At 44.4% G+C, this 23,551-nt stretch overlaps 1 protein-coding gene across 3 annotated transcripts in view, besides 6 other annotated features; it reads right to left on the bottom strand.

Moving 5' to 3' along the window:
- Nucleotides 1-360: 360 nt before the first annotated feature.
- Nucleotides 361-23,551, bottom strand: part of SMYD2 (SET and MYND domain containing 2) — a 55,973-nt gene continuing 32,782 nt past the window's right edge. For 2 of the 3 annotated variants that reach the window (NM_020197.3, XM_047425700.1), the window contains 10 exons: nucleotides 22,620-22,730; nucleotides 19,353-19,413; nucleotides 18,509-18,633; nucleotides 12,784-12,851; nucleotides 9,768-9,870; nucleotides 7,214-7,324; nucleotides 6,422-6,542; nucleotides 5,300-5,474; nucleotides 3,184-3,292; nucleotides 361-788 (listed from right to left, as the gene is read on the bottom strand). In NM_020197.3, the coding sequence (NP_064582.2) occupies nucleotides 708-788; nucleotides 3,184-3,292; nucleotides 5,300-5,474; nucleotides 6,422-6,542; nucleotides 7,214-7,324; nucleotides 9,768-9,870; nucleotides 12,784-12,851; nucleotides 18,509-18,633; nucleotides 19,353-19,413; nucleotides 22,620-22,730 (1,065 nt within the window). In that variant the 3' untranslated portion in view covers nucleotides 361-707. Of the gene's footprint in view, nucleotides 789-3,183; nucleotides 3,293-5,299; nucleotides 5,475-6,421; nucleotides 6,543-7,213; nucleotides 7,325-9,767; nucleotides 9,871-12,783; nucleotides 12,852-18,508; nucleotides 18,634-19,352; nucleotides 19,414-22,619; nucleotides 22,731-23,551 lie in introns of those variants that run through there. The other variant, XM_047425702.1, reaches the window with a different exon arrangement.
- Nucleotides 8,336-8,425: an enhancer, noted in NCBI's record as "active region_2531". NCBI's record gives its function as "activates an Ori minimal core promoter by ATAC-STARR-seq in GM12878 lymphoblastoid cells {active_cell/tissue: GM12878}" and the evidence as "EXISTENCE:reporter gene assay evidence [ECO:0000049][PMID:35858748]".
- Nucleotides 8,336-8,646: a biological region, named in NCBI's record as "Sharpr-MPRA regulatory region 1006".
- Nucleotides 8,352-8,646: a silencer, noted in NCBI's record as "tiled region #1006; HepG2 Repressive DNase unmatched - State 12:CtcfO, and K562 Repressive DNase unmatched - State 12:CtcfO". NCBI's record gives its function as "represses a minimal TATA promoter and a strong SV40 promoter by Sharpr-MPRA in HepG2 and K562 cells {active_cell/tissue: HepG2 | K562}" and the evidence as "EXISTENCE:reporter gene assay evidence [ECO:0000049][PMID:27701403]".
- Nucleotides 19,479-19,982: an enhancer, noted in NCBI's record as "OCT4-NANOG-H3K27ac hESC enhancer chr1:214490853-214491356 (GRCh37/hg19 assembly coordinates)". NCBI's record gives its function as "activates a minimal SCP1, AML or CMV promoter by ChIP-STARR-seq in naive H9 embryonic stem cells {active_cell/tissue: H9 hESC(naive)}" and the evidence as "EXISTENCE:reporter gene assay evidence [ECO:0000049][PMID:30033119]".
- Nucleotides 19,983-20,486: an enhancer, noted in NCBI's record as "OCT4-NANOG-H3K27ac hESC enhancer chr1:214490349-214490852 (GRCh37/hg19 assembly coordinates)". NCBI's record gives its function as "activates a minimal SCP1, AML or CMV promoter by ChIP-STARR-seq in naive H9 embryonic stem cells {active_cell/tissue: H9 hESC(naive)}" and the evidence as "EXISTENCE:reporter gene assay evidence [ECO:0000049][PMID:30033119]".
- Nucleotides 20,487-20,990: an enhancer, noted in NCBI's record as "OCT4-NANOG-H3K27ac hESC enhancer chr1:214489845-214490348 (GRCh37/hg19 assembly coordinates)". NCBI's record gives its function as "activates a minimal SCP1, AML or CMV promoter by ChIP-STARR-seq in naive and primed H9 embryonic stem cells {active_cell/tissue: H9 hESC(naive and primed)}" and the evidence as "EXISTENCE:reporter gene assay evidence [ECO:0000049][PMID:30033119]".

Below are 23,551 nucleotides of genomic sequence, written 5' to 3'. Positions count from 1 at the left end.
AAGAAAGCAAAGCACGCACTAAGCACCTTTACACACTGAAGGAATACCAGGCACCAGAGAACAGATTCAAAACCTCGCCTGCTGGAGGGCACTTGGGTCACTGGACTGTTCCTCCACCACAGATAGATGATAGTTTTCTTTCCTTCGTGTACCTTTTTCTCTTTCTTCCCATTTTCTTCCTCCACAGGCACAGCCCCACAAGAGCAACTGCAGAATAAAGAGGCTGCCCGACCCCAGTCCCATGGAGAAGACTTGAGCTTGCTGAATTATGGACAGCAGGTGTCACTTTCACTCCAAGACTGGGCTCCCACCACCACTGAGAAATCCTCCCCAGAGACAGAAGAAAATACAAACCTCAAATACTGATATCTCTTTAATACTTTCATCATTCAAGTTTGTTCAGAACATTACAAGAGGCATGAAAGAAAAAATAATTCCATTTTTAAAACTCTGTCTGTCCAAAGTATAACATATGAAACCATGCCATTATCTCTTAGGAAACAAAAGCATTCAAAATTAATTTGGTATTAAAGTTCAAGATTCAGACTAACCTCAAAGTACGGCATGTGCAGTGTTTAAGTGCAAGAAGTATTTTCATTCCAATTATTTTACAGAGATGCTGGAGTGACGTGTGCAATTTGAAATATTCAAATCCTTTAAGGTTTCTGAACTAAGTGTTTAAATGAAAACTGAAATGCTGCATAGTTTCAGTGGCTTTCAATTTCCTGTTTGATCTCAGAAATATATGGATGATCTTTGCCGTGAGCTACTTCCATGATTGCAATGGCCTAGGAAAAAGCAAGACAAACAATGAGAGCCTAGAAGCCAATCTCCTCACACCTCCACCCAGGGTAACTTTAAGTTGGATCTCTCTGCTTTAAGGCACAGGATGCAAACTGGCCATTAGAGCCTATGTTCTCCACCAGGACCTGTTTTTATTTTAATTTATTTATTTATTTTGAGACGGAGTCTCGCTCTGTCGCCCAGGCTGGAGTGCAGTGGTGCGATCTCCGCTCACTGCAAGCTCCGCATCCCGGGTTCACGCCATTCTCCTGCCTCAGCTTCCCGAGTAGCTGGGACCACAGGCGCCCACCACCATGCCTGGCTAATTTTTTGTATTTTTAGTAGACACGGGGTTTCACTGTGTTAGCCAGGATGGTCTCGATCTCCTGACCTCGTGATCCGCCCGCCTTGGCCTCTCAAAGTGCTGGGATTACAGGCATGAGCCACCGTGCCTGGCCTTGGTTTTTTTTTAAAAAAGGAGAAGACCATCTGGTAGCTAACTCATCCAGTGTCTACTGCTAGGTAAAACATTCTGCAAAAATATCCAGCTGGAGAAACGATGTCATGAAACTGATTTCATGACATTCTCTTGCCCCAAGATTCTAGATCTTTCAGTAAAACATGCTTTAAGGACTAATTTTTTTGATTATGTTCAACCCAGAAAATAGGTGATGCTGGTAAAGTCCATAGTGAATTTTATATCAAAGCTATTTTGATTTTTAGTTGACATTACTAACCTGCAAGACGTAGCTAAACTATTTTTCCCTTTCGAAAAGCATACTCTTTCCTTTTAATACATATTCTAAAAACTTAAAAGAAAGGTAGCAGGTTTCATTGAGGGATGCTAGAGAATGTACTTAAGGTTTCTTTATAGTGAGGCAATGTAACATGGTCAAGTTTCCAGTGGTTTAATCATTTCCTAGCTGTGTGGCCTTGGGTAATTTACTTAACCACTCTGTGCCTCATTTTCCTGAACTGTAAAACTGGAATAATACCTACCTCTCAGGGTTGTTAATTCAGATACAGTGTTTCGAACAGCGCCTGGCATACAGGAAGTTTATATCAAATGTCATCTCTAAGAATGTATTTGCTCTTTTGTATTCAGCCAAATTACTCAGAGAAAAAAGTATTCCCCCAGAGAATTTTTAATGGCCTGTGACTATGACAGGCATTCCTATCTATTATATATTCTCCTCCTAGATCTCAAGCCAAGAGGAGGCAGGCCAAGTAACAGTGCAAGCCTTCGGAAATCACCTGTTCCAGGTGCCGACTCTGCCCAGGCATTCATTTCAAGACTCATGTTCCTTGCTCAGATCTGCTCCAGCTTTCATTGATCTATTACTTAATCACCTGACACACTTTGCAGTTGTGACCCAAATGGCTAATTCTCAGAAGACAAATTCCATGGTTTAAAACAGAAAATTTTGTTCTGTGCTCCCTTCCAGCCTGGCTGTGCCCTGACCCTTCTATTTGGGATGTGGGCCTTATTCCATCTTCGCAAATAGTCTATTGGGAAACTTTGGAGAAGGTGAAAGATTAGGCCTGCAGGCCCTGTCCATGGCCCCAGCATTTTATAAAGTTTCTTACAGGAGTAAATGGACTATCCCCTAAATTACACTGTATTGACTGTGAATTCCACATCACAAACAATGAGAATCAATACTCAGGATGATGACTCTGACCTCCCATGATGTGAGGGTCGGGGCCTGGCTCCTGGGCAGCACAGGGCCGCCATCAAACCAAAGGCGAATGCTGCCCAGGGTTCTGGCTCCCCACCAGTTTCATCACAGCTTGAGTGGGAGGAGCCGAAGCTTTCAATTTAGACCCTCATTTGAATGAAGGCCCCACCATGTACCCTAGGCTATTACTCACTTAAACCTGCTTGAACCTCACTTTCTTCATCAGGAAAGCCTCTCGGTTTTGTGAGAATTCAAAGGAAAAGCACACGAGGGTCTTGGTATGTAACTGGTCCTCAATGAACTGAGAGGATGATTAAGTGCATTTTAGAAACAGCAAATGCGCAATTCTAACATCCTAACCCTAACTCTCCATATCCTACCTCCTTGATTTCACAACTGGGGATCATCATTCTGAAAATCCCAAAGGTCAAACAAATGGAGAATTCCTCCAGGCACAGGCTGGGCCTGTGATCACGGCCAGCCCTCTGGATGTGGGCACCCATTCCCTTTGAGGGAGGCCTGGACACAAACACAGCAGAGGTGCACTCTCTCACTCCCCCCTCACCTGCAGGACCCACCCCCGCTGCTCCCACGGCAAGAGGGTGGGTGAGAGCTGCTCACCCTCCACTGCTTCAGCCATTCAGCCTGGTGAGGCATGAAGGAGGTGCGCTAAGGAGGCCATCTGGCCACTGGGAATCCTAAGGCCGAGTTACAGACATACCTTCTTCAGGGCTTTCTCCCCTGCGGCTTTGTGTTCCAGGCCCATGTAGAGTCTCCCTAGCTTCAACCACATGGAGGCCACGTTGAGGGAGTACAAAGGATAGTGCTTACTAGAACAAGAGAAGAGACAACAGGCCACCATGTCAGCGGCTACTGAGCCGCCCCACAGGCTGGGTGCAGTAAGCCGGAGGCTGCCATGCTTAGGGCCAACCTCTGCCCACCAGCGGCCTCTCCAAATCCCACCAGGGTTTGGGTGGAGAGCGTGGATGCTGCCACCCTGCCGAATCATTGCAGATGTTGTTCATTATTTGTAGTTTGTGTGTTTCTGAAAAGCTACGTAACAACTGCAGGAGAAATCCTATTCAAAAGCATTTGTAAACACAATCTTCAATCCCAGTCCAGATTTTTATATTTCAGACATACCCAGAGGAAGACCCTGGGAAAACAGCTTGTGAAGTAAATGTCCCATTTATGAAGGCAGCAATTAGGCCTATCACCTTAGGTACTCAGACATACAGCCACCCACCCAACCCCCACCCACCCCAATGTGTCTTAAGACCCCAGCTTTCTGTCACACTATGATATGGGTTGGTTTAGCAAAACAGTTAAGTGCTCTGAAGTCAGAACACTTCCTGTGTCTTCTGGATGTTCTTTCCCCATTGTCCAGCAGGGGCTTTAGATACAGCAAGTGTTCTCTCCGGCTGTACCTGAAGACTGACTGATGGGGTCTGCCTGGGAAACAGCCATTTCCCTAAGAACAGGGCCCAGAGGCAGCTGGTGGGTGAGCCAGTGTGTGTGTTTACATGTGTGTAAGAGGTGTTTATTTAAAGGCTAGGCTGTTCCACCCTGTGTCTCCTGAAAGTCAGTCCAAAAAGACATGTTCTAGCTGTATTCCTGGGTAGGAGGCAGCCCTGGGACCCACGGCCCCACAGAAGACCAGAGCTGGGCTTCCGGGAGGGGCTCACGCAGATAAAGATGGGTCTAGCAGAGCAAGGCCCTGCTGGGAGAACCACAGGGCTGGGATGCTGTCTGTCTGCTCCTCTCTCCCTACAGATCTCACACAGAGAACTGCGCATGAGGCCAGTGCACTTCCTCACACACTCTAGGAGAAAAGGAAGGTTTGAGTTTATCCCCAATTTAACAAATTCTGTTTCCAAGAGCAGATTTTAAGAGCTGGCTTCCTTTGGGCTCCCCCTGCTGGCTAATCAGGGCACAGTGGGGTAAGTAGAGGGTGGAGTGGGCAGTGGACATTCAGACCAGACACAACCTTCACAGACCCTAATCTCGGAAGTGGAAGGAGACTGAGGGCTTCTCAAACTCCTGAGAAACACCTGGGATGCTTCCAGAACACAGATTTCTGGGTCTAATGCCCAGCGACCCTGATTCACTTGGCCCACTTGGTGTTGGACGTACCCTGTAAATGCATAATATCAGTGCCTTTAAAAAGAGCTCCAGTGATCCCATCTAGGCCACCTCAGCCCTGAAGTGTCTAGTCCGAGTCAGAGGACAAAGCCACAACTTCCGTCTGTCACCCACTTTTAGGTTTAGTAACCCTCTCAGGCAGGAAATCTCTCCAGGGCTAATATTCATTATTACTACAAATTAAAAAGCAATTTTTGTTTCTTTTTTCCAAACCTGGGGTGGGGAGATTAGATAACCACGGTCAACCCACTGGTCCCAGAGCTTCCCCATTTGCAAACTGGGGCTGTAATTTGAAAAAGCAAAAGAAGGGGATGGTGTGAGTAATGATGAAAACCAGGGTTTCTGAGACCACCACTTAGTAATTAAACTTGGAAGCAGTGGGTGGGAAAAGAAGCAAACTAGTGGCTTCTCAAAACTAGCCTGAGTTAACTACTATGGATATGGCCCTGGATGGACCTGGGAGGGATCTTGCCCCAGTATCCGCTGCATAACCTCAACCTGTCTCCTTGGGATGATGGTGAGAACAGGCCTGACTCGGGAGCAGTGCCCTGCACCAGCACCTCCAGATGTGGGTGCAGAGAAGAGGCAGCTGCGCTAGGCAAGTCTCAGCAATGGGCAGGAAGATGACACTATCGTATACATTCTAAACAACCAAATTCCACTCCGTGGATGATTAGAACAGCCTCTGCAATCACCTGTAGGGCTTAATGATTTTCTGTCCATATTGCAGGGCTCCTTCCCAGTCCTGCATGTACAAGCAGACACCCATGGCCTGGTACATCATGTGCAACATGTACACGTTACTGTCCTCAAACACAGAGCTCATCTTCTCCTGGCTGAGCTCGCAGATCTCCAGCAGCTCACTAGGGGGTGCTGTGGAGTCAAGGAAAGGGCCACCGGGCCCAAGCTGCCTGGAGGCTTCCCCAGGCTGGGTTCAAGGAGTTATTTCGTCCACTCCACTCTCACCCTTACCCCATGAAAAAGTAACTTACAGAAAGCCAAGCAAAAGTGAAAGGAATTACATTTCTCCAGAAAAAACAAATGAAGAAAACCTGAAGGTCGGAACCGCTCAACTCAAGAATTTTAGCCGCAGGGTCCAGACCCCTAGTTCTGATGTAAACAATGTTGATTAAAATCACGATTCTAATCAAATTCAAATCCTCACCCAAGTTGGAACCCTGAGCACGACTCCCACTGTGGCAAAGTTCTTTCTTATGCTGAGAAACAATGTGCCTTTCTCTCATTTCCTCTCACTGGTTTTAAATTCTACCCTTTAGAGTACAAATCGAATCCCTTTTCAACTCCCAAGAAAATGCTACAATACAATGGTTAAGAATATGGATTCTGATAGAGCTGGGACAAAATCCTAGATCCTATCACCATCAGCTGTGTCCTTTGGGCAAATTACTTAATATCTATCAGGCTGTTTCCTCATCTGCTGCATGGGAATGAGCAGAGTCCCTGCTCAGAGTGTGCCAGTGAGGAGAGCTGAAATAAGCAAGGCCCTTGGCACTGTGCCCTGCCCAAAGTAAAATACCCAAAGCACAAGGCCATCAAGGCTCTGTCCTTCATGGTCCTCCACCACATGGGGCTCCCAGCCAAACTAGCCAAAATAAGGGGAAATAAAATCATACAACTCCAACAGGATGGACACCACATTGTGGGTGGTCAGTACGCCTTTACACATTTACTAGGAGACATTCCTCCTTTGGTTTTCAGAATCTTAAATCCATCCTTCTCCTGCTCCCTCTTTCCAACTTCCCACCTTGCCTTGTTGGCGAGGGATAATAAGCTATCAGGGCAGTTGTAAAGGATATATTTATAGTGCTTGGCCCTCCGGAACTCTTCAATGACGTTGCGTGCATATCTGACCATGTCTCGGATGGCTTCTGCCTTTGGGGGATCGCTGAGCTTCCGGATTTCCACCTTGGCCTTATCCTGAAGGAAACGTCCACAAGGGCAAGGCGTTACCGCCCATGGAAACCACACTGATAGGGAAACCTCTCATATAATACACATTCCCACACAGCGGTCGACACTGGCCCATTCCAAGGTTACAAAAGAATGAAAGGAAATCAGGCAATGCATCTGAAGAAATTCAGTACTCCATTACCTTTTTACAGAAACAAAACAAAAAGATTAATTTTCTAGATACTCCTTATCTAAAATGTGTTGGCTATGGGCAGATATATGTGTTTACACATCTACGAATCAAGAGACTAGAATAAGGAAGGATGGCATTGACGGAACAATTTGGAAAATGCCAGGGAAACTTCCACATATTCTGGTGAACAGGTTGGAAAGCCTAGAGATTATACTCATGTGCTTTTCCCCCCTCCTCCTTTGAGCAGTTGTTTCTTTTCAAGAAAGAGCAGTTCGGCAGACCTTTCTCCTGTTTGTACAGTGTAATGGAAATGTTTTCTTTAGCTACTAGGAGCAGGTCTGAACAGAGACCTGGTCTAACTAGATTCCCTTTGGCTGTCTTTGTAAGGAGGGTTTAAAGGGTCAAAAAGATCCTAGAGGAGATCCGCCAAGTCAGACAAGCTCTTCAGCAGAGAGGTCCTGAGATCAGAGTGCAGTCAGCGCTCTTGCCCAATGAACAACCTTACCTTGTCCTTGGTGGTACACTCCTGGCACTCACAGGTAAAGAAATAAGAATCTCTTAACCGGTCATTTCTATCTTCCGTTGGGTACAGGAGATCAATATAGCTGGTAAAAACCTACGGGGTCCAAAAAGATAAAGCTTCAGTCTGCTACAGGTAAACTCAATCCTTGTCATTCCCGTGCCTTTGCAGTCACCTGCAGGGCCCATGCAGAGGATAAGGCGGGCTGCAGCGGAGGAATGCGCTGTTTACTTTAAGGCACGGAATTCCTGAACTGAGCAGCCACCTGACGTTGGCTTTCTCTGGAAGGTGTTCACTAATCCACAGCTGAACTGGGAGCTGAAGCCAAGGTGCAGGTTAGTGGAAAGAGTCTGTAGAATCAAGGAGTCCTTAAAACAGTGTCCTGGAGGGTTCAGAGGATCCCTGCCTCCCTCAGCTGCCTCTGCCTGGCCTTCATGTAGTTTCATGTTTCACCACCTGAGACGGCGCAAATGCTTCGTTGCCGTCATCACTGGATGCTGCGTGCAGGGGAGGGCATGAGCACGCACACACCACACACATGCAGCTAAGCTCCCCTTCTCCTCACATCAACTGGCAATGGAGCAAGAGGCTCCACTCAGTGGGCTGGGACCCACAGCTCTGGGTGGCCAGCGGAGGGTGAACACATCTTCTAGGACACCAGAATGCTGCGGCCTGGCCCAGCGGGCAGCTCCTGATCCTGCAGGGCAGCGAGCTTGGAAAGTCCTTACCTTTGGTTCATGGGGCTCCACCGTCCTTGCCTTTTCCTAATGGGGTCTGTAACTAAGGCTTGGAGCATATGGAGGAGACCAGCATTTAGATGTCCATTATCTACTCACTGGGACAGCACTGGCTACTCATCCCACACAATCAGGCAAATGTCTGACTGAACAGATGGATCTCATGAAGCCGCTAGCGTGCCAGTGACCACGGGCACCACCAGGCAGGCAGGGGAGGACACGCACAGGGCTGGGTGCTGCAGGGGCAGCTAAGCTCTCCCCAGCCCATGGGGAGGTACTGGACACGTTGCAGCTCACCCCGAAACCCTGGGGAATGGGGTTTCTCCTTCTCTGAAGGGTAAGTAATCCCCAAAGCACTGACTTCCCAAAAATGAGGTTACTGCGTTTCAGATCTGGGAGAACATAAGGGCAAAAGGAAACTGCAGCCACCCCTGCCCTGCCTCACACCACAAGAGCCTGCCAACAATCTCTGTAATGACTGACTCACAGTGCAACATGCGGAAGCTTCCAGAAGATGGCGACAAAGGCCACTCCAGTACCACTGCTCCCAGCCAGACTGAGCCAGCTTAGGTGACAACCTGCTCATCTCTGCAGTCAGCCCACAGGTGCACTGGAGCCTGGGTGACTGCATTCTGACTGGCTGCAATTATCTGTTTCAAGAAAGGCTTCAGAGCAGTCTCCATAAGACCTTTGGAAACTCAGACACCCCAGCCGAAAGGGGACACACCCTCATCGTAATGGATTTAGCTGAAGGTAGAAGGGCCAACCTGCCTGCATCTTGGGCTTCAGCTCCCAGTGCAGCTGTGGATTAGTGAGTGCCTTCCAGAGAAAGCAAAGCACTTGTCATTCAGCACGCTGACAGTTATATTTTACACTTCACACTTCAAATACCCAGGCATGCACCGTAAAATAGCATTACAAATTGCTAAACTGAAATTAACCCAAGTGTGATTACAAGTTCCTAAAAACTCATGTGTCTTGCTGGGAATTTACTTAAGAACACAGAGCATACTACAGCAATCCATCAGGCCAGCCCTTCCCAGGTGAGACGTCTCATGAGGTAGTCAGGAATCACACATGGGAAGGGAACAGGGAATCGCTGAGCAGGTGATGGGAAGACTGGTTCTCTCCACGTCCTGAAGCTGAGGAGGGAAACTAAGGTGCCCCTTGGCCACAGACTGCCTTGACTTCTCCTATTACTGCATATACCTGGACTTTTGATTTAGATTCCTAAAAAGTGAACTGCGACCTGAAGTTCAGATGTGGAACTGATAGAACACGAAATTCTGATGTGTCCCTTGGAGTGCCAGCTCTTTAGCTACTGCTGCGTTGCTTGCTTTCTTTTGCTTTGGACCTTTGAGGGATGGTGGGGAACAAGCAAGAATTCACCAAAAAAAATAAAATAAAATAAGGCTCAAGCTCAGTTGTTTGGCAATAGGGATACAGAGACTCTAAAGATAATCAAAAGTTTGACTGTGGTCATTTTGGTAGTAAATGTCTTCTTTCTCTGTAAATCTCTATAAAGCTTTGGGACAAATTTGACTCAAATTTATTACTTCCTGTTTTTCTTGACCAGAGATGGAAATGTATGTACCAAACAGAAGCCCCAAAGTGTGGGAATCTAAACTACAGGTTACAAATCTGATCACTGACTCCTGGAGAGCCTGAGGGCAGACTCAGCTAAACTGCTGGAGGCATTCACAACTCATACTGTCAAGTGACACTGCACAGATCTGTCCACATTGCCTTTTAAAGAGCAGTCTCAAGCCCCCTGCTGCAGCCACCCATAGCCATGAACTCACCTCCTCTCCCGGCTTGATTTCCTGTACAGCTCTGACTTCTGCCAGGGTCCCTTTGTAGGTCACAATGACATTGGGGCAACAGCTATGATTCATCAATGCAACACTGTCAGTCAGAAGAGAAAACCCAGTTTTTAAAATGAGATAGGCAGACTGTTTAGCTTCCTTCACTACTTACTTGCTAAGTCAGAGGAACTGAATCTTTGCAAGACATTTTTTAAAAATCTAATAGTTGGCTATCACATTCTAAGAGGTTGTTCTGCATGCACTGATAATCCTATCTACCATCTCACACTTTCACCATATTAAAAACTGAAATCCACAATTCAAGTACTATCTAAGCCAAAACCAAAAAACACACAACAGCAAAAACAACAAATGCCACAAATATTCCTCCCTGATAGAATGCAGCTCTCAGAACCCAATACCCACAGCTAATTGCTACTTCACTATACACTGTCAAACACAGGTGCGTTGTCGCTTTCAAGCAGCTTTTTGTATTAGTGGATTATTTCTCACGTTTTTTTCAGATGTTGAGAAATGCCAGCTTCCTAAGGGAGGAAGGGTGTGTGATCCCCTGAGAGACCCGGAGACACCCGTCTGAGTTTCTCTGCACCTCAATTTCCTCATCTGGAAAATTGGGACATTACTGCTCCTGCTGCTCACTGTCTGCTTTTCAGGGACAGCGAGAAGGAGAGAGAGAGATTCGCCTATGCGAGGTGCTTTGAGCTTTCTGATTATATGAAGGTCAAAGTTCTGAGAACAGAAATTTCTAAACTACAGGGAAAAAGTGCTTGATCTCTGAAAATGCTGCCTTTGAAATCACAATGCTGATATGATTTCAGCCCAAAGGGATTTTTTCCCCCAATTAAAACTGCCCAGAAACTGGGGCTCATGCTCCTACGGGCACTCACAGCCATGTGTGTCATTGCTCTGGTGGCCAATGTCACCTCCCTGACCCTCCAGAGACCACAGCCCCTCTCCTGCTTGCTCCGAGAATACAAAAAGGGAAAGGGGTTTCGAAGCCTGATGAGGATGAACTGCCCCAGGCTGGCTATGGCCTATGGCCAAGTGCACTCCCCCACCTCCTGGCTGCTAAAGGCCTAAGCAAAGTATGTGGTTAGCCTGGTGCCTGAGATAAACAGGTAGCAGCTTCCTGGTCTTGACCTCGGGGAGGGCCACCTCTGCACTGCACCAAGGCCCACTTGGCTTCCTGGAAAGTGATGCCCAAGGAATCAGGTCCTAGGAAATCAAATAAACAAATGCATCGAAGGGTAGTTGTATTAAAATAAAAGCACATTTCTAAAACCATCTTGCGGAAGTATTAAATAGCTGAAGGCAGACTCGGGTATCTCTTTAATGAAGGTGGGGGAAATGCACTAAGTCAAAGACCCTAAAACAATTCATGTTCTTGGTATCATAATTCTGTTGGCAACCACTGACAGGTGAGAATCCTCAAAGCACCTCACTCTTTTTTTTTTTTTTTTTTTGAGATGGAGTCTCGGTTTGTTGTCCAGGCTGGAGTGCAGTGGCGCGATCTCAGCTCACTGCAACCTCCACCTCCCGGGTTCAAGTGATTCTGCTGCCTCAGCCTCCTGAGTAGCTGGGATTACAGGTGTGCGCCACCATGCCCAGCTAATTTTTGTATTTTTAGTAGAGACGGGGTTTCACCATGTTGGTCAGGCTGGTCTCCAACTCCTGACCTCGTGATCTGCCCGCTTCGGCCTCCCAAAGTGCTGGGATTATAGGTGTGAGCCACCACACCTGTAAGGCGTGCCCGGCAGCACCTTACTCTTAATCTTTTAGTCTTTTAAGATATTAAGAACAGAGACATTCCATAGTTCATTTCAGTTATAAAGGTGTCAATACACGCCTTCTTCAGTGGGTCCAATGCCCTCTTTTTCTCCTGCCTTTTCCCAGGGGCCAAAGTTAAAAAAAAAAAAAAAAAAAAAAAGCTTCTTTCCTCACTTCCAGAATTCCAACTGCAGATGATGCCATTTTGGCCCCAAGGACAAATATTACATGAACAAACTTTTTAGTCTCTCTGGTTCAAGTAAACCTGTGACAGCTGCTCACGAGACACAGACTGTACGGATTCTTCTCTTTCTGACCTACACAACGCACAGCGTCTGGCAGAGACGCACATAGCTAAGGGCAGGCACATCACTCAGGGCAAATGCATGAGTATTAAGGGTTTCCTACCTATGTGGCAACCTACAGGCAAAGGCCCCTGCAGTATATGTTAAGCAACCTCCCTCTGGATAGAACTTATCTACAATGTGGATTAATTTGGAGGCTGGGGGGATGCATGATGAATTCCTTGGCTCTATCTGTGAAGCAAGGGTTTGATTTCAGGGACTGAAGCATTTTGGAAATACTCACTCCATGAGACAGACAAAGGCAAAATCATTCTTGGCAATCCATTAAAGTCAGATCTATAAAGATCTCCATTTGTCAACTGGCTAGCCTTTGCTGAATTACTCAAGTATTCTTCAAATCCAGAGAAAATCCTACAGTTCTTTGAAATTTTTATCCGGCCCACTACTTCAGCATATTCTCCCTCCAAATTGTGCTGTTTCTGTACTGGTATTTATCAAAAAGGACAGATGGAGAAGAAGCTCATATAGTCTGTACTCAAGCTTGTGGCCAATTCTTGGTTGGCAATTAATGTTTCACTTTGAGCATAAGAAATGGAAAGATTTCCAGAACCACAGATAGGCAGAAAGCAAATTTCTCAGCAGGGCATGAGCTGTTCCTTCTATGCGCGCTATAAAATATTCTTTAATAACAGCTCTCTGCCTAGCAGGACTTAACAAGCAACTGTTCTCTTAACTACTACCTTTGGATCCTTAAGTGTAGGGGAAATATTTTGAAATCTGGCAGATTAAAAAGCTGTTTTAATTCACTTTGAGTTTCATGTCTGCCACATGCAGTTAGGTGGGTTATTTAAAAATGAAAAAAAAATCAAATTAGTGTTAAGTAAGTAAAAAGGAAAGAAATGAAGTCAAACACAGCCTACTCAGGAAATATCGCTGATCCCAAATGAGAAAGTTCTTCATCTTCAATTGTGAAGCCATTACAGTTAACCTGCAGCAAGAAAAAGGGAGAAAGGAAAAAAATGAGCTGGAGCTTCTTTCTGGGTAGAGATCATTTTTTTAAATTTTGACTTTTAACAAATTAGGAAGATGTTTTGGTGTAGTGGTTTTAAACCCTTTCTTTTGCCCATGTTATCGTTCAAACAAAATTTACTTATCAGTTCCATGCATAAACAAACAAGCAGAATTGTGATGCATCCCTTAGTGTAGCCTACCTACCATCTAAATACAGTGGTCCAGGCACGCCAAAGACCCCCAAGACTCTGAGGACTGACGTTTGCACACTTGCATGGGAGTTAAGATACCTGGAGTCTAATCTCAATTCTGCTACAGCTTTGTTGTATGATCTTAAGCCTATCACTGAATCACTGTGTCTTTAAAGAAAAGAATCAATCTGGCTGGGCGTGGTAGCTCACGCCTGTAATCTCAGCACTTTAGGAAGCTGAGGCGGGCAGATCACCTGAGGTCGGGAGTTCGAAACCAGCCTGACCAACATGGAGAAACCCCATCTCTACTAAAAAAAAATACAAATACAAAATTATCCAGGCGTGGTGGCGCATGCCTGTAATCCCAGCTACTTGGGAGGCTGAGGCAGGAGAATCATTTGAACCCAGGAGGCGGAGGCTGCAGTAAGCCAAGATTGTGCCATTGCACTCCAGCCTGGGCAACAACAGCGAAACTCTGTCTCAAAAAAAAGGAATCAATCCAATGCTCATCTCATAAGGTGAGGTGGTAAATATGAAGCCCTTATTCATCTAATCTAACTGCTATCCCTCTCTCTGTTAGGGAGGCAGAGGGATTGAGGGCTTAAAGCTAAGGCACTGAGACCTTGCCTTTCAAGTCTCAGCCAAATCACCTACAGGCCACCTTCTCACCCTTTAAAAGAAACGTTGTACGGGCCCGCTGGCTCACGCCTGTAATCCCAGCACTTTGGGAGTCCAAGGTGGGCAGATCACCTGAGGTCAGGAGTTCAAGACCAGTCTGGCCAACATGGTAAAACCCTGTCTCTACTAAAAATACAAAAATTAGCTGGATCTGGTGGCATGCACCTGTAATCCCAGCTGTTCCATCTACTCGGGAGGCTGAGGCAGGAAGATCACTTGAACCTGGGAGGTGGAGGTTGCAGTAAGCCGAGATTACACCACTGCACTCCAGCCTGGACGACAGTGTGAGACTCCATCTCAAAAAAAAAGAAATGTTGCATAGAAAAATACCAAGGGCAACTTTCACCATTCTGGAAGCCTAACTTAGAACAAGCAGGCTGAAAATGAGGACTATACATGCCTAACTTATGTACTGTTCTATAAACTCATTCTTTCCACAGATATGTACTGGGAGCCCTTACATGCTGGGCACCATGCACAGAAAAACAAACAGAAAGACAAACAGGCTGAAAATTTGTGGCCTCAAAGAAAATCAGACTATTAGGAGACAATTCGGTAGGTGATCTTCATGTCTCTAAAATTTCAGCACTGGAAGAAAACTAAGACTCTACTTTTTAGAGGACGAAACTGAAGTCAGAGAGGAACAATGATTTGTCCACAGTCACAAAGATACTTGGTGACAAAGGCTGAGACCCCTGCTTGTCCCACGCTGCTATGAAGTCTCTGTCCGTGAGGCACTCACACTGAACGATTCCACCCCACTCTCTTCTGCACTTGGGGACACTGCACTGTTACAATTCAGGCCAACAGATGGGCTTTGTAAAACTAGCATCCTCTGAGCACTCACTCTGGGCCAGGCACTGTGCTAGGTACTTCAGATTTACCATCCCATAAATCCGCAATATCACTATAGCATTACTACAGCAACTCATTTTACAGATGTGAAAATTGAGGCTCAGGAAGGTTCAATGATTAAGTGACTTGCTCAAGGATATGTAAATGATAAGTGGCAGAACAGGAGCCAGAATTCAGACTAGGCATTCTGAACAGCAACTCTGGTTTCTTCACACTATACCATGTTCCTTCTAAAATTGGTCAGATCTACTAAATGCTAATGTGGTTATTTTGCTTAACATTAAAGGGCCAAACGCAGGGGCTTGAAAATCTTGGTATACAAAGCAATAAGAGCTATATGATGGGTTTGACTTGCAGTATTTACAATTCAACACAAAAAGCAGAAAATGGGAGGGTACTGTGGATTAGTAAAATAATACATAGGCTTTAAAATCCTGAGGGGTTGGGCATGTGTAAGTAGAAGACTTGGCATATTATTTTTTGTGCCAACTCTAAGTACCCTGACCAATTCTGTCACACAGACATTGACTAACAACCATTAACCAATGACCATCAACCAACATTAGGTAAGAGTAAATTAAAGTTTTCATTCATTCAACAAAATTACCGGAGCATGACCTGTATCCGGTATTATACTGGGTTCTAAATGATCTATGTATCATCTCAGACTGAGTACTACCACGCCTCAGCAGTTTCTGGTACAAATGTTTTCAGAATGAAACAATGAATCAGAAAAATTTGCAACACTTTTCAAAACTGATCTAGGGACAGACAGCTTCTGACTACTTTGGGGATGAGATTCTTGTTTCTCTGCTTTTTCAGTCCCTCCTCTGCAGCAAGCCCACTTAGACCAGTCAGACTCGATCACTTTATGACCATCAGTCCCTTTATTCCCTTCCCGGCTCCTCTTACTGTGGAAGACTGCTTGTGTTTCTTCAAGAGCTAAGGCTCCCATGAGCCTAAGAGTCATTACTGTTCCTTTTGTGATGGTGTTTAAGCCTACTTACATAGCAATTTTCCTGCCAGCTTTCCTTCCCTTCTGAAATATCCCTAGAGAAGAAAAGTGAACTTGCATGTTAAGAAACATGCATGGTCCACAGTCTTTTTTCTGAAGTCAAATCAGGTGTAAGAACCTTGCAAAAGCTATTCTCATAATTAGCATTTAGACTAGATGTAGGCTGCACACCAAAAATACACTTCCCAATCATGCATATGTTCCCAGTGATTAGAACACACCTCGATGCTGTCAAAGATGTGTGGTCACCTTCTGCTGCCAGCTGCTGCCAGGTCTCGAGGTAACCCACAACAGCCTCCCATGGACCAGACGGTGGAAAGGGCTCAGGGGCTGGAACAGCAGACACGTAGCTGCTGGCTGAGAGGTGGGACCGGTGGCATGTGGCTGCAGCAGCACTTTGCATTTCTGCTTTGGAGTTTTCTTTGGGGATAGTAAATGTCCCCTTTCAAATTTACATATGAAAAAATTATATGTGTGTGTATTTGTGTGAACACAAATAATCTCAAAATGTATACTTATTTGTATTCACATGTAATCTCAAAATGTATACTTATTTGATAAAGTCAATAAAGGAATTAATTCTCTATAGTTACGTGTATGTGTGTATGCATATGTGTGTGTATATATATATACATTTTTTAAGGTATATAAATGTTCTGAATTTTCTGAGTCAGTCCATATTTCAAAGAGTCAGTCACTTTCACCACAAATATACTTCTACTTGTGAGATGGAGTCACTTGATTTTTGGTTATGAAAATATGGTCCTGTAACTACGGCATCAACATTGAGAAGTCCTATAAGCATGCATCACTGTGTTAGAGGAAAAGCTATCTTTTTCCATAGCCAGAAAAGTAGATACTTTATGTTTATTTCATCTCTCTGCTTTCTCATATATAAACTAATCCAGAAAAAATTATGTATTCATTTTTTCAGAAAATGTAAGAGAAGTTGATTCCTCACTTCCCATTGTCAGCCAAATCTATTGTCTCAGGATACTTAGGTAAGTACAATTTAAACCCAGGATAATATGAAAATTAGAAAGGTCTTTTATTCCTTCTACCTTAACACTCAAAACTTGAAGCCACCTTTTCACCTACAAGGAATCGCATATTTTTCTGATTATGACAGTCACATAACTGAAATATATCTAAATAAAGTTTATAAAAGAATTCAATAAATTGTTAATAGTTGTTCACAGTTGGGGGGAAGCTGAAGTGGGCAGAAGTGATGAATGACTCACTTTTTTTCTTTATAGACAGGGTCTCTCTCTGTTGCCTAGGCTGAAGTGCAGTGGTTTGATCACAGCTTACTGCAGCCTCGAACTCTTGGGCTCAAGTGATCCTCCTACCTCAGCCTCCTGAGTAGCTGGGACTACAGACACACGCCATGGTGCCTGGCCACTTTCTTTATGTGTGTAATTTTTAAAGTGTGTGCTTTTTGCCTTTTTCTCCTTCTTAGCATGCTTTTTGTAAGTTATACATGCTCACTGTAGAAAATCCAGAAAGTCACCCAGTAAAAAGCCTAAATTTTTCCACAACTCGGAAGACAACTGTGAACTTCCACTTAATCTTTACGTTATGTATGTGTGTTTTCGTATTATACCCTTTTTTCATACTTTTCATACTGCTTTGATACTTAATGTTATGTCATCAGCATTTCCCAAGTTTAGACAGTCGTGAAACGTAACTTATAAAGGTTATGTAACCTTCCATCACATGGAGATGCCATAATTTATGTAACCAAACTCCCACTACTGGCCATTTATAGTATTTCCTTTTCCTCTTTCCTTTTCTTCTTCCCTTCCTCCTCTCCTTTCCTCCTTCCTTCTTTCTTTTCTGCCTTTGGCTTTTAAAAGAATCCTACAATAAACAATTTGTACGTAAATCTCTGTCCATGATTTCTGATTATATCCTTAGGACAGATTCCTGCAAACAGAGTTACTGGGCAAAGGGTACATTAGGTAATGCTTATTCTATTCTAAGACAAAACCATGGAGGTGTCCACTTCATCTCTTTTACACATCCGGAGACTGATGTAGCTTCTTGCTCCCATGGAGCAGAATTCTAATATTTCTCTACCTGGGAAGGTCACTTTAAACTAGATGCCCAGTTTGTAGAGGGCATCGCAAAGGCATATGAGAGAGAAATCCAATCTAGTAAGTCAGGCCAGGAAGAGCCACCCTCACGATAACAGGAAGGTTGTGTGTTCCCCGAGGCATGGCCACTGCACCCTTTGTTCTCTCGTCCTAACAATGCCCAAGGCTTGCCTTGCCAGTGGCCTAGTTTCCAAAGCTGTAATCACTTTCAAATTGCTCTTGCTTAGAAGCCTAAGATTTCCTTAGATCTGATTTTGGTAAACCTAGACTTCTCTAAACAAGATTTCTTAGCCACCATCAGGAAAGACTTCCACATCTAGACCCACTTGGGCTCCTCTCGGCAGTGACTGTCCTTCCTCGGGCCATCACAAAGGGCCCTCCTATCAGTGCAGCCTTGGTTAGAGTGAAAAAACACTACAGATAGAACAGAAGGTTTAAGAGAGTAAAAGTAAAATTTAATGTAGGAACTTCAAATGGTCTTTTCTTTGCAAAGAGCTTAAAGTATGCCAGAGTACCAGGGCACTGACAACTCCTTTGTTTTCATGAACTCTTTGTGAGGCAGAGGCAGAGGCGAATTTCCTACACTCCACCCATCAATGAGGGCCAGCAGAGGGGACCTTGATCTGCTCAAGGTCACTGAGCAAGGCTATGGCAACACACGGTCCAATTGGCTCAGAGCTTCGTTGTCAGGAAGATGCCATCATTCTATTTGCATTCATCTTCACTGAGTGCTTGCTAGGGAGAGGGCCTTGGAGAGGGAAAGGCCAGACTGAGTGTTACCTGCTGCCAGCGTCCTTACCTGTGCAAAGAGTACTACGAGGCTATCATTGTCAGGGAATCCGAGATGCTTGGAGTAAAAGTGATGGAGAGCAGCTATGTCACTCTGAATCAAATCCTTCTTCTCATTGTCTAACTTATCCAGATCTGTGGATAAATAATCCATTATTCACCCAGTAGAAAGCGTGGGATTTCTAGCTACATCCTATTTTTGCTGTAAATGATACAGAGGAAAGGAACGGGCGAAAAAAAAAAAACCCAAAACTAACATGTTGAACCCCCAGAGAACATTCTTCCCCATTACTTGGTTTAACTGACAAACCCTAAGGAAAGAAAGCAAGCCATTTCTTCCTTCTCTCCCTCTGATGACTAGAAGTCACTTGGGACGTGAGATTTCGACTGACTGTTAGCAATGAGGTCAGGGATGGGTAGCAATGACTCATAACCAGCCTCAGCCTAGTCAAGGGCCCCCCAATTGGCCCGGGAATCTGGGCCGTGGTCAAACAACTGGACAACCCCTGATTTCACGGCTTTCAGTAAGAACATCAGCTATTTAGAGGACGCAATTCAGCAAAGATCCAAAAGTATTCAGCATGCCAAGAGGGCCAGCAGGAGGTAGCTCAGGGTGCAATAATTCATTTTGGGAGCTCCTACCTCCTTTAATTATTTCCTAACAATCCTGTCAACTCAGAAGAAAAAAGCTAAAAGTGCTTTTCGAAACAGCACAAGAGTAAAAATAAAAACTAGTAATCAAAGAAATCACTACTCCTCTGAGCACAAACTAGCCCGTCCTCGCTTCAATCCTGCCCAACCCATGTGAAATCTGTGGCTGAGAGAACTGCGCGGCTGGTCACAGAAAGACTTACGTGATTCAAACTCCTTCACAGCTAACAATTTTTCCGAAGGTGTTCTCTCTGGGTGGATTTTCTAGCAATTGGGGAAGAAATCACACAGATACAGATTTTTTAACAACCAGTGTAATAAAGTGGCACTTTCACTTTTACATCAACATAAAGAAAAAGTAACAATTCTTAAGGAAGTAAAACAAGCTACTCAAGGACTCCACCACTAGGGCTCTCCACCAGCCAAATCCAAAGACTCTTCTAAAGCGCTTTTTTAAATGTCTACCGTGTACCTAACACCCTGATAATACTATGCACACAGTAGGCTCAGAAATACCTGTTACGGGAAAGAACAGGGCCGGAAAACAACTTTTTAGGGTCCTTACTTAAAAGGACTGGGTCTACAGACAAACCATCCTATTTATTATTTCTCCTTCTAAAAAGGAACAAAATCAAACCCCCCATCCATTTTACACTTTCTTTAAGCATAGGCTAAAATGATCTCAAATTCTGTGTTTCAAAAAGAACACTTTTGGTTGTATCTGTGAGCCCAGATTCACTTTAAACGCGTTGCTGGCTTTGTTCTAGACACCCCAAGAGGAGCTAACAATAGTAAACCCGCTAGGCTTTGAGAACATGAATAAACTTGGTGTTGACAAGAGTTCAAAGGCAGAGCTCAGGAGCTGGCCCAAGGCCATGTCTTTGTAATGTGGCTATTCAATTTGGGGATACAGGTGGTCTAGCAGGGCACGCTCACCTCCCTAGTTAACATGTTAAGCCTCCCCTTGGTAGTTTGGTAGCCTGTCTCCCCTAATCCTTTGCAAGCTACTAGAATACAAATGGTCTGTTTTTTTAATCATCAAGTCCTATAGAGATGAAAAGATGGGCAGGTAACTTTCATTTAATACACTATTAGTAGTAGTAGTAATTATAATAAAACTTGAATGAAGCTTGTATAAACTCATCTTTGCATTCAGACTACCCTCCTGGTGCCGAAATATTTCAATAGTTCTTTTTTGGAGCAGAAATCTTCCATTCACGGGATGCATTTTTATAAGATTTATAAGTCATCTCGCTTGGGAAAGCTTTTCATTCAGGAAAGTCTACCAGCCTCTTCTGAATTCTTAACATATCACTATAAATATCATCAATAATTCAGGGGAACAAAATAATAAAACACCAGCTTGGCCACCCAATCCTCCCAAGATGTGCGGAGATCCCATCTGATGACTTACTGACTCTGATACCTCACACCCAGTCATCCTATTCCCTCTGACTTATTCAGCCCAAATACTCTGCATAAATTTAAAAATAACTGTTATTAAGGATCCGAAAGTTAACCTCCTGCAGGGAAACAATTCTGATGTTTTGGTCTCACTCTACAGGCAACCCATGAATGGCCTTTGTTACTCTCGGCTGGCTGGCGAGGTAGCATTTCGGCAAGCACCTGACCCAAGCTGAACATAGCTGAAGGATGACCTCAGAGTTTTGAAATGTTCTACTTCTGTTTACACAGCCCAGGATCCTAACTTGGTCTGGGGACAGATACATGCTAATCATTTCCATCACATTTGGCTTAGATTAAAAAATAGAAAAATTTTAAGGGTGGAGGAGGGCTGGTAGGTATACAGGAGAAGTGGATGAAATTTCAGTTTGTTTTTTTTTTTCATTTTTAGAGACAGAGTCTCATTTACTTTGTTGCTCAGGCTGGATGGAGTATGGTGGCACAATCACAGCTCACTGCAGCCTTGAAGTTCCGGGTTCCAGTAATTCTCCTGCCTCAGCCTCCAGAATAGCTGGGACCACAGGTGTATACCACCACACCTGGGAAATTTTTTTAATTTTTAAAATTTATTATAGAGAATGGGTCTCACTTTGTTGCCAAGGCTGGTCTCGAACTCCTGGATTCAAACAATCCTTCTGCCTTGGCCTCCCAAAGTGCTAAGATTACAGGTATGAGCCACTATGCCCAGCCAAAATTTCAGCTTTAAAAGATTTATAGTCCAGAGGCCCTGCCACCAACTTCTCTGACAGCACTGAGGAGCAAGACCTCCACAGCCTGGACATATGCCTTCTAAGCCCCACACTGCCTATTTCATTGGATCACAAGGACAAGTTCTATGGCATTTTCCTGTCCTCTTTTTAGTTTGGCCCTTCGAAGATTAGGTGTCTAATTATTATGCAATCAGCAAGAATGAACCAGACCAGGCGGAGAACAGTCAGTACGGTGGCTAAAGCAATTTCATCTTGGATGCTGATATACCATGTTGATTTCTGGTTAACTCCTGCTCTGGGAATGCTTCTAAGATTTCTACTTTGTCTATGGCTACCTTAAATCCTGCCTTAGGTCAATACAATCTTGAGCACAAATCTTGCTCTCAGGCAGATTTGCATAGCATCCTTGCCTTTCCTTGTAACTGCTGTACACATTTCTTCCCTATGGTATATAAGCCCTGGCTCTGGTGGGTAATGGTGCAGGGATCCACCATCTTGTCTTGCTGCCGCCCAAGACATAGACATGGCTTCAGTTCATAAGTCCTAGTAAATGTTTCTAATAAACTGGATTTGTCAGCTTCTTTCTTCTGTCTCTCAGCTTCCTCACTCTTTGAGCGTAAGTTTGCATAGTCCTGCCCACCACAGAATAGTCAGAGTTGGCATCACTTCTGGAGAAAGCCATTGATGACTATCATCTGTTTCCATCAAGGGCACCTCTTTCTTTCCTTCTTCTTCACTTTTTTTTTTTAACTCTCTTCCCCTCTCCCTTGCCTCTATTTCTACTTTTCCACTCTTTCTCTTCTTTGCACATGTCATAGTCAAGGCTGTTCCATCCAATTCTTTGCCTGCCTATGCACAGGCAAGAAAGGAGCCAAGAAAGAGCAGAATATTACACAGGAAAGGGGAACAGAGTACACTCTTTATGTCAGAATGGAAAGAGAGGAAAATCTCAAAGCTGCTCAGACCAATCTGGTTCCCTAGGAAGCTCTAATTATTTGAGGTCAGGCTTTTCATGTCACGTATTTCCATGTAAACCTGTCATGAAAACAGCTCAGAATTTCAGAGCTGTGGCTATGCTCCTGGTCTAGGGTAAGCAACATCCTAATTGCACAGGGCACACAACTAACTAGATTATGCCTGGAGTATTTTCCCCACCCCTGTCCATATGGATATGATAGGAAATGTAGTCTAAGGATGTTTAACGAGAGATGGTTACCAAAGGTCAGTTACTCATCTTTCTGACCTTTAAAAGAAAAACAAAATAAAATGCACTTGAACATTGTCCCATTTCCTCACCTGTTTGGCCAGAATCCTTGCTGTTAGTCTTACAGTCTCCGAGGGATTCCAGTTTTCCCCAAAAACAACCATGGGAGAACATTCCAGCTTGTGCATGGGCCAATCTTCTTTCTGGGAAGATTGAAAAAAACATTATTAAAAAATAGCACATACACTGGAATAAAGTGTGAGAGGAGAGGATGCAGTGAGTCCCCCTAGTTAAGGTCAAGTAAAATATGTTTCCTTTTGGAAAACACGAGGATGCTCACAAAAGCTAGAGATAAAAACATCCTTTAAGATAGGCAGGATTGTATGACCTTCACTCAGGCCTGGGTCAAGCTTGTTGGGATGAGAAGATCTACTTTGTGTTTTTTCCTCAAGCACCTCATGGCTTTCTGCAGCCCCTCATTATTCTAAACAACACATACATCTTTCCATCATCTGTGCAAGCTGTCAAATTGCAGAGGGAGCAATTTGAGTATCAGCCATTGATTTGGCTTTGTTGCCTCACAGTTCCGCTCTGGCTTTGTTCTCACGTCAGGGCAAATAATGGAGAGTTGACTTACACAGCAATGAGTCCCTTTTACAGGCGACTTTTTAAAAAGCACAAATGAGGGTTTCATGAAGGGCAACCACTGGAAAGATTTAGGAATAGTTAGGACTTCCCAAAGATGCACTGGATAAAACAGTAGTATTCTTTCTTTCCTTTTTTTTTTTTGAGACAGAGTCTCGCTCTGTTGCCAGGCTGCAGTGCAGTGGCGCGATCTCGACTCACTGCAACCTCTGCCTCCCGGGTTCAAGTGATTCTCCTGCCTCAGCCTCCTGAGTAGCTGAGATTACAGGTGTGTGCCACTACGCCCGGCTAATTTTTGTATTTTTAGTAGAGACGGGGTTTCAAGATGTTGGCCAGGATAGTCTTGATCTCTTAACCTCATGATCCACCTGCTTCGGCC

Source organism: Homo sapiens, chromosome 1, assembly GCF_000001405.40.
Source record: "Homo sapiens chromosome 1, GRCh38.p14 Primary Assembly".
NCBI classification, from domain to species: domain Eukaryota; kingdom Metazoa; phylum Chordata; class Mammalia; order Primates; family Hominidae; genus Homo; species Homo sapiens.
This window is presented reverse-complemented; position numbering and strand designations above follow the sequence as displayed.